At 47.0% G+C, this 12,758-nt stretch overlaps 1 long non-coding RNA gene and 1 pseudogene across 1 annotated transcript in view, besides 6 other annotated features; one reads left to right on the plus strand and one right to left on the minus strand.

Annotated features, from left to right (window-relative positions):
- LINC01599 (long intergenic non-protein coding RNA 1599) overlaps window positions 1–12,758 on the minus strand; it is a 97,731-nt gene that overhangs the window by 52,994 nt on the left and 31,979 nt on the right. The gene's annotated exons all lie outside the window — the stretch shown is intronic.
- Window positions 774–1,063: an enhancer, noted in NCBI's record as "active region_8340". NCBI's record gives its function as "activates an Ori minimal core promoter by ATAC-STARR-seq in GM12878 lymphoblastoid cells {active_cell/tissue: GM12878}" and the evidence as "EXISTENCE:reporter gene assay evidence [ECO:0000049][PMID:35858748]".
- Window positions 1,264–1,443: an enhancer, noted in NCBI's record as "active region_8341". NCBI's record gives its function as "activates an Ori minimal core promoter by ATAC-STARR-seq in GM12878 lymphoblastoid cells {active_cell/tissue: GM12878}" and the evidence as "EXISTENCE:reporter gene assay evidence [ECO:0000049][PMID:35858748]".
- Window positions 1,934–2,003: an enhancer, noted in NCBI's record as "active region_8342". NCBI's record gives its function as "activates an Ori minimal core promoter by ATAC-STARR-seq in GM12878 lymphoblastoid cells {active_cell/tissue: GM12878}" and the evidence as "EXISTENCE:reporter gene assay evidence [ECO:0000049][PMID:35858748]".
- Window positions 2,474–2,683: an enhancer, noted in NCBI's record as "active region_8343". NCBI's record gives its function as "activates an Ori minimal core promoter by ATAC-STARR-seq in GM12878 lymphoblastoid cells {active_cell/tissue: GM12878}" and the evidence as "EXISTENCE:reporter gene assay evidence [ECO:0000049][PMID:35858748]".
- Window positions 4,239–4,288: an enhancer, noted in NCBI's record as "active region_8344". NCBI's record gives its function as "activates an Ori minimal core promoter by ATAC-STARR-seq in GM12878 lymphoblastoid cells {active_cell/tissue: GM12878}" and the evidence as "EXISTENCE:reporter gene assay evidence [ECO:0000049][PMID:35858748]".
- Window positions 4,659–5,018: an enhancer, noted in NCBI's record as "active region_8345". NCBI's record gives its function as "activates an Ori minimal core promoter by ATAC-STARR-seq in GM12878 lymphoblastoid cells {active_cell/tissue: GM12878}" and the evidence as "EXISTENCE:reporter gene assay evidence [ECO:0000049][PMID:35858748]".
- Window positions 8,262–8,522, plus strand: RN7SKP193 (RN7SK pseudogene 193; annotated as a pseudogene).

A 12,758-nucleotide genomic window follows, 5' to 3' on the forward strand; every position in this document is an offset into this window, starting at 1 on the left:
CAGGCTAGCACGGAGCCCCCTCTCCTTGTAACCAGGCTCGTTGGCGACAGAGATCCTGGCAAATTATGAGGAAGTAGAAGCTGGGAGCCATTCAAAGTCATCACATCCACGTTTCTCTTCAGGGACTCAGCCAGGGCCGCTCCTGCTGCTTGTTCCAAGGCACACTGGGAGTTGTTGGGCAAATATTTGCACAACATTTAGGCCCTAAACCTGCAATGGCCTGAGCCCCTCCATGACAGAGCCTCCTACCCGGGTGCAGGCAGCTCTCTCAGCTTCTCCATCAAACCTAGCTACAGCAAGGGCTGTTGAGCCACTCCAAGCTCAAGTCTGGTTTTCCAGAAAAGATGTCCTGCCAAGAAATGTGTTACTGAAGAGGGAAAGGGAAATATAACCAAAGGCCAGGGTACTGGCACCTTTCTCCTGTCCTCTCCTGAAAACAGGGACCTCTGCTTCCTTTTGCCTTCTTGTTCTGTGTTCAGGAAAAGTTGTGTCTGTGGTTAATCTCTCGAGATCCGGAGGGAGTTGGAAATGGGTTTGAATTCCAGTTTCCCCATCCCCATCACTTCCTTGGGAGTCAGTGAAAGTCACTGAGGTAACACAGCAGAGCGCTCGGCATATGAGAAGCGTGAGCCAAATGTGAGCTGTTCTCTCCCAGGAGCGTGTCTGAATGGGGCTGGAGATGGACGCCTCCTTTCCTCATTTCTCTCAGACCTCCTGGGGTGGTTTCCTGTCACAGAACAGAAGCAATTGCCTCAAATCAGATACCCAAGGATGCTGCAGGGAGAAGAGGCTGGAAGAGGGTGGCTGGGGTTTCACTTGTGTAAGCCACACACCTAAAATAAGCCCCCGCAGGAGACTCTGGGAATTTCCTGTAATTTTCACTGTAAATGTCCTATTTATAAAGCTGAGTCACTGCAAGCCGTTGTTTCACAACCACCCAGCATGTGGAGACAGGCCGGCACAGGAAACAAGGAGCATACCCCAAAACGCAGGCCTCACTCATGGCCTTTGGGGGTTCCCTGGGGCCAGCCTGGGCCTGGCCGTTCAGCCCCTGTAAACACCTCCACAAACTCAGGATTTGGGTCACTGGGCCAGGCTTACGCTCTCATCCCCCATTAGCCCTTTTTCTGGCTTCTTTGCTCCAAAATAGTCTTTTTTTTTTTTTTTTTTTTTTTTTTGGTTATACATTTACAGGAAAAGTCTGGCTTCTTCGAGAGTTGCTTACAGACAGTGCCAGGCCTGTCCCCTCTGGAGACCTGAAGGGTCTGGCCTTAAGTAGGATCCAGGGCAACTCTCTGCTTTCCCACATGAATAGACCTGCCTGGATGCCTCTGCTCATCACCACCTCTATAAAACAAACAGATTCTCCCAGGACAGATTCCATACGTTCAGGGCTCAGGGTGCCTGAACCCAGAATTCATTAAAAGCAGTGAAGGGGCAAAAACGGGAGCAGATGTCAGCAAAGCACAACTGCACTTAGCAAGTTCACCTTTCCATCCAGAGTTCCTTGCAGGAGGGGCCAGGAGGGAACACAAAACCCTCCTCACTTCCTGATTTTACAATCACTCAGCTAGCGGCTACAATCAGGGTCACTAATCACAGCTGTTGAACCAGGCCGCCACATCCTGCCACCAGCAGCCCCGGAAGACACTGTGCAGAGCAGGAGGCAACCCTATGCCACTGGTTCTCTGGTGTGCAGAGAAGTCTCCAAATCAAAGAAACCTTAATGCTTAGTGACAGCTTCTCGTTAAACAAGGTAAACAGTGGTCCAGTGAAAACATTCTCAATGTTGCTGAGAATGTTTCCCTCAACACACTTCTTTTTGGGAGCCAGCTCAGAGGCCCAGCTCTGTGTGCCTTGTGGGTTCAGCTCTGATTTCTGGGAGCCCTGGGAATGTAGGAGGTTTGGACCCTGAGAAGTCCCTGGGCCGGCAGTGCTGTGTGTCAGTGTCAAGGCAGTGCAGTGGCATGGGGCAAGGCCTCTGTGAACTAGTCAGCGGGGAAGGGGCGGGAGGGCATTGCCAGGTGCCCAAGGCTATCTCCAGTGCCAGAGCTCCTCCCTCCCCGTCCCCACATTATGTGACCAAAGGTCTTTGGGTGTTGCTGCCGGATGGTGGGTCTTCTGGTCCAGCTGCTCTCTAACACCTGATGCCCTTTTATCACCCTCTGTCTCTCATACTTCCCAGGCCCCGGCCTGAGCCCCAACCCAGGCAAAGTCCCCTGAAGTCGCTATTCCTTTCCTTATTCTTTATTTTCATCGCCACATCTCTCTCTCTCTCTCTCACCCCCGTTACCAGAGAATTTAGGCTACCTTTTCTCCATCAGCATGGCCCGTGGCCCGACAGCAAATGTCTGAATGTGTGTGTGGTAGCTGGCACTCAGCTTCTCATGAGCTCCGTGATGTGAGCTCCATCTATGGAGGACACAGATGTTAGTGTCACAAAAACCCAGGCATTTTCAACTCCTGTCTAGTGAGTCACCCTTCCCCTAAGCCCCACCCCCACCTATCACAGAGATTAACTGGGGTTGGGGGAGGGTGCTTCTTACTGTAGCAGTAAAAAAACAAAGTAACCTGTCAATTTAGAAAAAACAGATTCAGGCCCAGTGCAGTGGCTCATGCCTGTAATCCCAGCACTGTGGGAAGCTGATATGGGCAGATTGCTTTGAACTCAGGAGTTCAAGACCAGCCTGGGCAACATGGCAAAACCCTACCTCTACAAAAAATTAGCCAGGCATCATGGCACATGTCTGTGGTCCCAGCTACTCCAAAGGCTGAGTGGGAGGATCAACTGAGCCCAGGAGGCAGAGGTTGCAGTGAACCAAAATCGTGCCACTGCATCCAGCCTAGGTGACAGAGACCCTGTCTCAAAAAAAGAAAAAGAAAAAACAGATTCAAACCAATTAGAACTCAGAAGGTTCAGCAAGTTCACCAGACACAAAATCTACCTGCAAAAATCAACAACATCTCTGTCCACCCACAATAACTGCTGAAAAATATTATTAAAAAGATACCATTTACAATAGCAGCAAGAATTACAAAATATATCTAGGTAATAGCCAAGAATACCCAAAACTTCTAAAAACATGTCTTAAATTCTAATAAGGAAACATAAAATGATCTGAATAAATAGAGTACATTCCACATTTTGGGTAGGATGACCTCATGTAAGATGACTTACTTTGGATGACATTTATAAAGACCTAGTTATATGAACAATGAACCTATAAATTTAATGCAATGCTAATCAAAATTCCAACTGGATTTCTTTTTGAGAAACTCAATGGAGAAATAATTAACTTTTACAAAGAAGAGTAGAGGGGAGACTTGCCCAATTACCTACACTACAAAATCAGAATAACAGTAGCAGTGCCAGCTCCGTGGCAGTCCAGTAGACTAGCAGAAAAGCATGGGTAGCTGGGCAACACACTCCGGTCCTTTAGGAACTACACAGAGAGAAAGTTAACCCAGCAAACACAGGTCCTCAGTGGGCTCAGCCACCAGTGGAGGTTTTGCTGGGATATTTTGCTACACTACTATCATTGCAACAAGTATACCTAAGGGATAACAAAACATGTGCCTCAAGGTCCCCGTGTGACTTAAAATGCACTACATCAAACTGGCTCTGTGGAAAGAACAGGACTTAACCGTTCAGCAGGCCTAACTCTCTGGAGCTGCCCCTGAAGTCCGCAGCAGCTACACGTCCTTCATGAGGCCAGATGTGCAAAGCCGGGCCCAGAAAGCTGAGGTAGGTCCCTGCACAAGGCCACAGGGCTTCCATCTCTCTCCACAGAAAACACATCGCAGAGCTCATGAGAAGCTAAGTGCCAGCTACCAGGAGTGCTGGAGGGTGAGCTGGAGGAGGTGGCCTTAGGTGGAGATGAAGGGACAGGAGTCCACAAAGCAGGCCCACTCTGAGTGTCCAGCAATGCTAGGTAAAATTCACAGGTGGAAATCCTAGGCCCCAGGGTGACGGTGTTTGGAGGTGGGGCTTTGGGAGGTGATTCGGTCTTGGGGACAGAGCCCTGAAGAGCCCTTTAATGGAGGGGATTAAAGCCCTTATGAAAGAAACCCCTTCTGCCACAAGAGGACTCTGGGAGAAGGCGCTCTCTATGAACCAGAAATCCAGCCCTCACCAGACACCAAATCTGCCAGCGCCTTGATCTCAGACCTCCCAGCCTCCAGAACTGTGGGAAATAAATGTCTATCCAGTCTGTGGATTCCTGTCCTAGCAACCCAAATGGACTAAGACAAGCATCTTTTACTTCAACTAATTCAAGCAGATGTTCAGCTCTCCTGAATTACTAAAAGCATACACATTTTTAAAAATAGAGCATACAAATCAAATCTCAAGCATTTTGTGTCCACTCTCTTTAGCTCCTTGTCGCTCGTCTCATGTTTCTGTAAAACCACATTCTTTCCTCTCATTTTCGGTGGGGTCTGTCTGGGTTGTGCTGTAGCAACAAAAAATTTCCAAATCACAGAGGCTTTACACATTGATCATTGATATTTGAGCACTGATCATTGCTGAAGCTGAGTAATGGGTACAACAGGTTTGATATTATATATATGCATATATATATTGTATTGTATATATACATATATATTTGAAATTTTCAATAATAAAAGGTTTTGTAAATCTCCATGGCTTAAACCCACAAAGGCTCGTTTCTTGCTCATCTTCCATGTCCCTCATGGATCAGCAAGGTCTCTACTCCACTTCATCCTCATCCAGAGACACAGGCTAGCCAGCCTCCACCCTCTAGATTATTACTCACTACCGTAGCACCAAAAAGGAACCACGGGGAGAGCATGTGATGGTTCTTCAGGCTTTTGCCTGAAAGCGAAACCCATGACTTCTGTTCACATTTCATCAGCAAAGCAAGCCACATAGCCACACCTAATTTTAGTGGCTCAAAGACAAATGGATCTACTATCTACTCAGTAGAAAGGGAACTGGAAATATCTGGTAAACAGCACTAATGATGACCACAGCCACGAAGAGATGTAAATCTAGAAATTCATTCAGAAAGAAGCCCTGATATGCCATAGAGTTGTTCCCAATGGGTTTCACCCCCAACCAAAACCAAACACTCAGTTTTCTCCATTTTAATAAAACATTCAAACTTATACTAAGACTGGGAGTTCCACAATGTCAGGGACAGTTTATATAACTTCTTTACTTTTCCAGTACCTAACAAACACAGCCCATTGAGAACTGTCCCTGACATTGTGAAACTCCAACCTTGATATAAGTTTGATTGTTTTATTAAATGATAAGAAATGTCTTCTTATTGTCTTCCCTCTGTACTGTTTGTGTCCCATTTTCCTCTTCCTATAAGGATGACCGTCCTCTTGGATTAGGGCCCGCCCTACTGACATCTTAATTTGATTACCTCTGTAAAGACCCCATTTCCCCACACAGTCACACTCTGAAGTGCCAGGGGTTAGAACTCAGCACTCTGTCTTTAGCAGGTGCTAGATTAAGATCTGCTCAACTGAAGAGACACAGGAGGCAAGTAGAATGGATTTCCAGGCGTCCTCTAGAGAAGCCATTTCTCATCTTTGTTCTTACTCTTACCAAACTCTGTCTTATGACATTCCCAGGAGGAGACAGGAGGGGGCTGGTGCTTTTCTAGGAGGCCACTGGGTCATTGAGGCTGTCCCAGGTGGCCAGTCTTTCTCGGCTGCAAACTCACCAAATGTCAGGGGGTGCAGAAGGGAGCCTTGGGATCATCCTACTCAAAAGCATGCATCTTACAGGTGAGGAAACTGAAGCCCAGAGAAGGCAAGGACTTCTACCTGCTTTAAGTCTACCGCCTCCTAAGTCCTTTTGCATTAGCAATCTCTGAAAGGCTTGTGACTTTGAAACCTGGGTATCCTGGACCATTGTCCAGTCCTGTCTGTGTCTGCCATATTATATCCAGCCATGCTGTACACTGCTGTATGTTTAGTAAGGCTGAACTGAGAGAGAGAGAGAGAGAGAGAGAGAGAGAGAGAGAGAGAGAGAGAGAACATTTAAATAGTGTAGGCAATTCTGCCCATTTCACTCAATAAGGGGATATAAATCTGCTGTTCCCAATAGATGTTGGTTCCTGCCTCATTCTCATACGTGAGCACTAGCAAGCCTTTGTATAATACTAGCATGGCCCCTAGACACAGGCCAGTCCTGTCCTGGGGCTTTACTGAAGAGACAACACTCTGCTTCTGCACCGGAGAGAGAGCCCGTCCTATGCTTAGTGAGAAATGGTGTCAGGGTCTCCAACACGGCAATTTCTGAAGGGATTTGCAGGCGTCATTTGAACTGTACTCTCCGTCTTTACACCCAAAGCCTGGTGTGATATGCTCTGCTGTGACCATTGCCAGTGCCGGGGTTGGGCTGCCGAGAAAGGACACGTTGAGAACAGTGCCATGTATTAAATGAGCCTTCGGCGGGCTCTTGCTGGAGCATCTTATGAGCAATGGCACATGTAGAGAATAATAACTTGAACAAACCTATGCATCGCTTGACCATAAAAATCATTAAAATATCAAGGGGTTTAACGACGTAATGACCTAGCACAGATGGAAAATACGTTTAAGATCTCAGTCACTAAAAATGCATTTGGCATGCCACATTTGCCTCCTCTGAAAATGGGGGAAAATACATTTAGGGTAAGATGGCCACAGCTCCCCAAGAGGAAGGGTGGAAAAGAGAGAGACAATCCTCATTGGGTGCCCAATGAGGCAAAAGCTCTGAGGTGCTCAGATTGCCCTTCTGTGAGGGCTGGTGATGCTATCACCATTGGAAGCTGCAGCCAATTCACCACTCCAGAGGCTTCTGAACTATGCGAGATGCAGGAAGCATTTTCTGAAAGAGAGTCCCTCTTAGGGGAAGATACCAGAGTCTGCTTACCAGAAACATCAAGAGGGGAGGCAGCTGCAGAAATGAATGTGGACAGAAACACTGAACGCAGCAATTTATAAAAGAGGCTACTTTGGTCTCCTGGATACGTGTTTCTTTTTTCTTACCAGATCTTAGTTACTGTATTAGTTTGCTATGGGGCCCATAGCAAAGCACCACAGACTGGGTGGCTTAAACAATAGAAATATATGTTTTAGTTTCAGAAGCTAGAAATCTGAGATCCAGGTGTTGACGGGGTTCGTTTCTTCTGAGGGCTGTGAGGGAAGGACCTGTCCCTGGTTCTGCCAGGTTTGTAGATGACCGTCTTATTCCAGTGTCCTTTTATCATCTTCCTCCCTACTGTTTGTGTTCCAGTGTCCTCTTCCTATAAGGACAACAGTCCTATTGGATTAGGGCCCACGCTGATGACCTCATTTTAATTTGGTTACCTCTGCAAAGACCCCATTTCCCCACACGGTCACACTCTGAGGTACCGGGGGTTAGAACCTCAACATATGAATTGGGGAAGGGGAGGCAGGACAGGGTTCAGCCCACAACGTTACTCAATGATTATAATACATCCAAAGGGAGGCTTTGAAGGGGTGTGTTTTGTCACATGGAGAAAACAAAAAGCTCACAGTGTATGGAATGGTTCCTGTTTTACTAAGGTGTTTGGTCAATGAAAGTCTAACTCACCAGGGACAAACTGCATAGACAGTGAAGGGCGAAAGCTGGGGCTGTTGGCCGTGAACCAGTTCTGTGATCTTAAGCAAATAAAACCCTTCCATGACTCAGTATTCTCATTTGTAAAGGAAAGGAATGAAGTTGGTGAGCTGGATGTGGTGCCTGGCACTCCCACCCACTGTGAGCCTTCCTGTATGACAGAGACAAGAACACTAAAACCTATGTTTCCAGATTCCTTTGCAGCTAGAATTCTGCTTAGGCATTAGGTGCTCCCAACAAGATGCACTGGGATGAGATCTGAAGGACCACAGTGAGGTAGAGGCCACCTTCTTATTGCTGCCTCTGCGGGCAAAGCCTGGTCAACTGTGTGGAAAGAAGCTGTGGAAGATAGGGTTAGCACTCGATGTCTCTTAACCAGCCTGAGGGGCTTGCCGAGCATTTGCCGAGATGGGGCAGCAGCAGTGACTGCCCAGGAGTCCTTCCCAAAGACATGCTAGCAAAAACACAAAAACACACACAAGCGTGATCATTGCACTGTTGTAATAAGCAAAGGACTGGCAGCAACCCAAGAGAGGGAACTGGTTGAATAAATTATGGCCTATCCACACACATAATGGAAGGCTGTGCAGCTCTCCAAAGGAGCAAAAATAATATTTTCATAACATGCCATGGAGTAATTGTTAAGATTTGTGAAAATGGATGCAGGGTGATCTGGCTGTGACATCTGTCACTCCATTGATCGCCAGGGTTGATTCGGCTGATCTGGCTGGCTAGGCAGGTATCCCCTTCCTCCCTCACTGCTCTATGTGCCTCCCTCCTGAAGCGGTGCTCTCAATCGAAGAGGACGGCCATCCCTGATAGAGGAGGACTGGTCCTTCTTTGGTCAAAGGTATACGAGTACCTGTGCTCCCCTGCCAGAACCTCCAAACAAGCTCTCAAGATTGGTGAAAAAGCCGGGCATGGTGGCTCACACCTGTAATCCCAACACTTTGGGGAACTGAAGCAGGTGGATCACCTGAGGTTAGGAGTTCGAGACCAGCCTGACCAACATGGCGAAACCCCCTCTCTACTAAAAATACAAAAATTAGCCAGGCGTGGTGGTGGGCACCTGTAATCCCAGCTACTCAGGAGGCTGAGGCAGGAGAATCGCTTGAACCCAGGAGGTGGAGGTTGCAGTGAGCCAAGTTGCCCCATTGCACTCCAGCCTGGGCAATAAGAGCAAAACTCCATCTCAAAAAAAAAATAAAAAATAAAAAAGATTGGTAAAAGAAACAAACTGGAGAAAAAGGTATAAAGTACACTTCCACTTACAAATGAGGGATACGTATGTGTATTTTAAAGGAATCTCGGAATAATAAACAAACCAAAAAAAGGTAGTCCTAAAGATCTCTTTTAATAGGAAAAATAGTGAGACTAAGATGTCAGGCCCCAAACTCTGGCTGTAAAACTAGAAGCAAAGGATGAGTGGACCCGTCTCTCTTCTGCTCAGTTCAGAATGAAGGAGGAGAAAACACATAGAGGGCAGGTGAGAAAGGGAAATTAGCATTTGCTGAGCTCTCCCTTTTAAACCACCTGGGCAAGGTACTCTAAGTACATTTCTTTCTCTAATCCTTTACAGCTTTGCTTTGTGATAGGCATTTTTATTATCCCCATTTTATAGATAAGGAAAGGAGAACAAAGAGGAGTGAAGCCACAGAGATCAGAATCATAAAGCAGGGAGAGTTGCACCCAGGCCGTTGGACCAAGCTCTAGCATCCCTCTCTTGCTGGGCCCCCAGATTGAACCTGTAGGCAGTGGCCATAGGAAGGTGCTGTCTCCTTGGAATCCTGGTTTCTGTCTTCTTTCCCCACTCCAAGGCTGGGCCCCAATCCTGGATTTGAGAGATGGGCCCCAAGCCTAGCCAGGGCATCTCCCAGCCCTCCAGCTTCTCTGGGATTGGCTGAGAGGAGGAAGGGAGGGCCACTAAGCCACTGTTTTTTTGTTTGTTTGTTTTTTGTGTTTTTTTTATTCGATCGGCTATTGAAATCATTCGATGGCCAGGCACGGTGGCTCATGCCCATCATCTCAACACTTTGAGAGACCAAGACGGGAGGACCACTTGAGCCCAGGAGTTTAAGACAAGCCTGGGCAGCATAGTGAGACCTCATCTCTAAAAAAATAGGATAAAATAAAATTAGCTGGACGTGGTAGTGCAAGCCTGTAGTTCTAGCTACTTGGAGACTGAGGTGGGAGGATCACTTGAGCCCAGGAGGTCAAGGCTGCAGTGAGCCAAGATAGTGCCACTGCACTCCAGCCTGGGCAACAGAGTGAGACCCTGTCCCCATCCACCCCAAAAAACAAAACAAAACAAAACAAAAAACATCTGAGGAGTTTTAAAAATGACTGATGCCCAAGTTTCACCCTCAGAGATTCTGACTGAATAGGCATGGGGTGCAACGTTGGCATGGGATGTTTGGGAGCTCCCTATGTAATCCTAATGTGCCATAAAGTTTGAGACTCCTTCTGGTTTTGAGTGTAGCAGGGGCCAATATCAATGACACCACCCACCATGTGGGAGCTTGTTAGAAATGAGAAATCCATGGCCTACTGAATCAGAGACAGGGTGGGAGGGCAGGGGTGGAGGGAAGGGAGCCAGTATTTTAACAAGCCTTCTACATGGTTCTGGTGTGCCTGGTTTGAGATTCACCGTTCTAAGCAACAGCTAGAGACAGATCGTGTGCCATGGTTTGCTTTGTCAACTATCACATAACTGCTATGTTGATTATAAAACAAGTTAAATTTAATGGCCCCAGGGAGCGAGAGTATTCAGGCCTTTTCCCCAAGAAAAAACCTTGAGGCAAATGAGAAAGTGTTTAAATGTAATTTGGAATCAACCGGAACTCACTCTAGCTTCTGAGAAGGAGAGCAGCATTATCAAAACATGATGATGCCCCTGAGTAACTATACCACGAGCTTCCAAAGCCAGCGTGGATGCCTCCGGGTCTGTCCCTGAGGACAGACGGGCGCGGGTGAACAGCCATGGTGACCCCGGACTGCCAAGGCTTCCCAACTTGATGGTGTGTTCATTTCCTAGGGCTTCTGTGACAAATTACCACAAACTCAGTGCCTTAAAACAACACAAGTGTATCCTTTCCCTGCTCTGGAGGACAGAAGTCTGAAATCAAGGTGTCGGCAGGGTTGGTTCCTTCTGAAGGCTCAGAGGGGGAGTCCCTGCCATGCCTCTCTCCAGCCTCCAGCGGCTGCTGGCAACCCTTGTGTCCCCTGGCTTATGGACCCATCACCCCAATCTCTGCCTCCATCGTCACATGACCGTGTGTCTCAAATTTCCCACTCCTTTCTCTTCTAAGGACACTCAATGCATTTAGGGCCCACCCTCTCCTAATTTTACAGGTGAAAAAACAGAGGCTCAGAATGAATGATTCAGGGCCTTGAGGTCACTCAGCTGTGAGGTAGACGTCAGAATCCAGCCTGAGCTCTTCGCACTACACTCTTACTTTCATCCTGATTTAGCCTTCCTTTGGTGGCTCCCAAATTTGCTACTTCTCTTTTTTGTTTTGAGACGGAGTCTCACTCACTCTGTTGCCCAGGCTGAAGTCCAGTGGCACAATCTTGGCTCACTGAAACCTCCGCCTCCCAGGTTCAAGTGATTCTCCTGCCTCTCAGCCTCTCAAGTAGCTGGGATTACAGATGTGCACCACCATGCCTGGCTACTTATTTTTTAATTTTTCTGTATTTTTAGTAGAGTCGGGGTTTCACCATGTTAGCCAGGCTGGTCTTGAACTCCTGACCTCAAGTGATCCACCTGCCTCAGCCTCCCAAAGTGCTGGGATTACAGGCGTGAGCCACCGTGCCCGGTTCTTCAGATTGGCTACTTCCCTTCTGCTTTTGCTAGGACTACCTTAGTCTAGGCCTTCACCATCTTCTTCCTGAATTGCTAAAACAGCTTGCCTGCTAGTCTCTTTGTCTACTCTTTTCTGCTCCAATTTGCCTGTGCCCTGCTGCTGTATACTTTTTCATATTTCAGCACATTTTGTTAATAGAATGATCTGGGCCTAACTCAGCAGGAAATTTATTCTCTAGCATCTAAAAATGGTTTTTCATTAGGCTAGGTGTCACCTACTCATCTGTGCCTTGTTAGGATGGGGAGCAGTAAAGTCATACGAGATATAGACTAGGTTTATAAGATAGCTGACTTTTTACCATCCTTGGTAATGATAGATGAGGACAGAACTCACATGAAGTTCATAGCTAATCTACAAAGCTTGCTGTGGCTAACAGCTTTAATCTAAAAGCTTAGGCTGATATGTTTGCAGCCAGTTGTGTTTCTCTACCACTGTACAAATTCAGGTGGGGCCCAAAAGTCTCAGGTGTTAATGATCTACACACTAACCCTCCAGCTGAGGTGGGAATCTTTAAAAGCCACAAATGCAAAGGAATTACTGAATTCTCAGGTGGCTTCGATGAAGAAAGTCAAGTAAGTTTAGAGTAACCTGATTCAGCAACACACATCTTGAGATGTACATTTCAGAGGGGAAGGTGGATTTTATAGAGTTGAATTCTATATGCCTCCCTGATGTAGCATTCAGGGAGGTGTACAAGTTCATATCATATGCATTTTCTTTACCAACCTGGGTTTAGATCAAAAGAGGATGATGTTAGGAGGTCCCAGTGAAATATGGTAAATATCTTGCACAAGTGACCATTTGCAAGTTACCAGACATGAAAACCACACCCGATTCTTCTCTGCCACAGGAGTGTCATTGCCAGAGATTCATCAGGCTCTCACACTCTTTCCCATTAAGTAATTCAAAACATTTTGACAAATGTGTCCATTTGTTTACTATATTTATCATCTGATTTACCTGTCATACCACACAGCAAAGCTGTATATTAGTTATATAAAACTCTAGTTAGATAACAAGGATGGTTAGACTCAGCATTGAAAATTCCTTCTCGGTGGGCGGAGGGCGGTGGGGGGGGGGGGTTCCAAGATGGCCGAATAGGAACAGATCCAGTCTACAGCTCCCAGTGTGAGAGACGCAGAAGACGGTGATTTCTGCATTTCCAACTGAGCTTTGAAGAGAGTAGTGGTTCTCCCAGCATGGAGTTTGAGATCTGAGAAAGGACAGACTGCCTCCTCAAGTGGGTCCCTGACCCCCGTGTAGCCTAACTGGGAGGCACCCCCAAGTAGGGG

The sequence above is a fragment of the Homo sapiens genome, chromosome 14 (assembly GCF_000001405.40).
Source record: "Homo sapiens chromosome 14, GRCh38.p14 Primary Assembly".
NCBI lineage: Eukaryota > Metazoa > Chordata > Mammalia > Primates > Hominidae > Homo > Homo sapiens.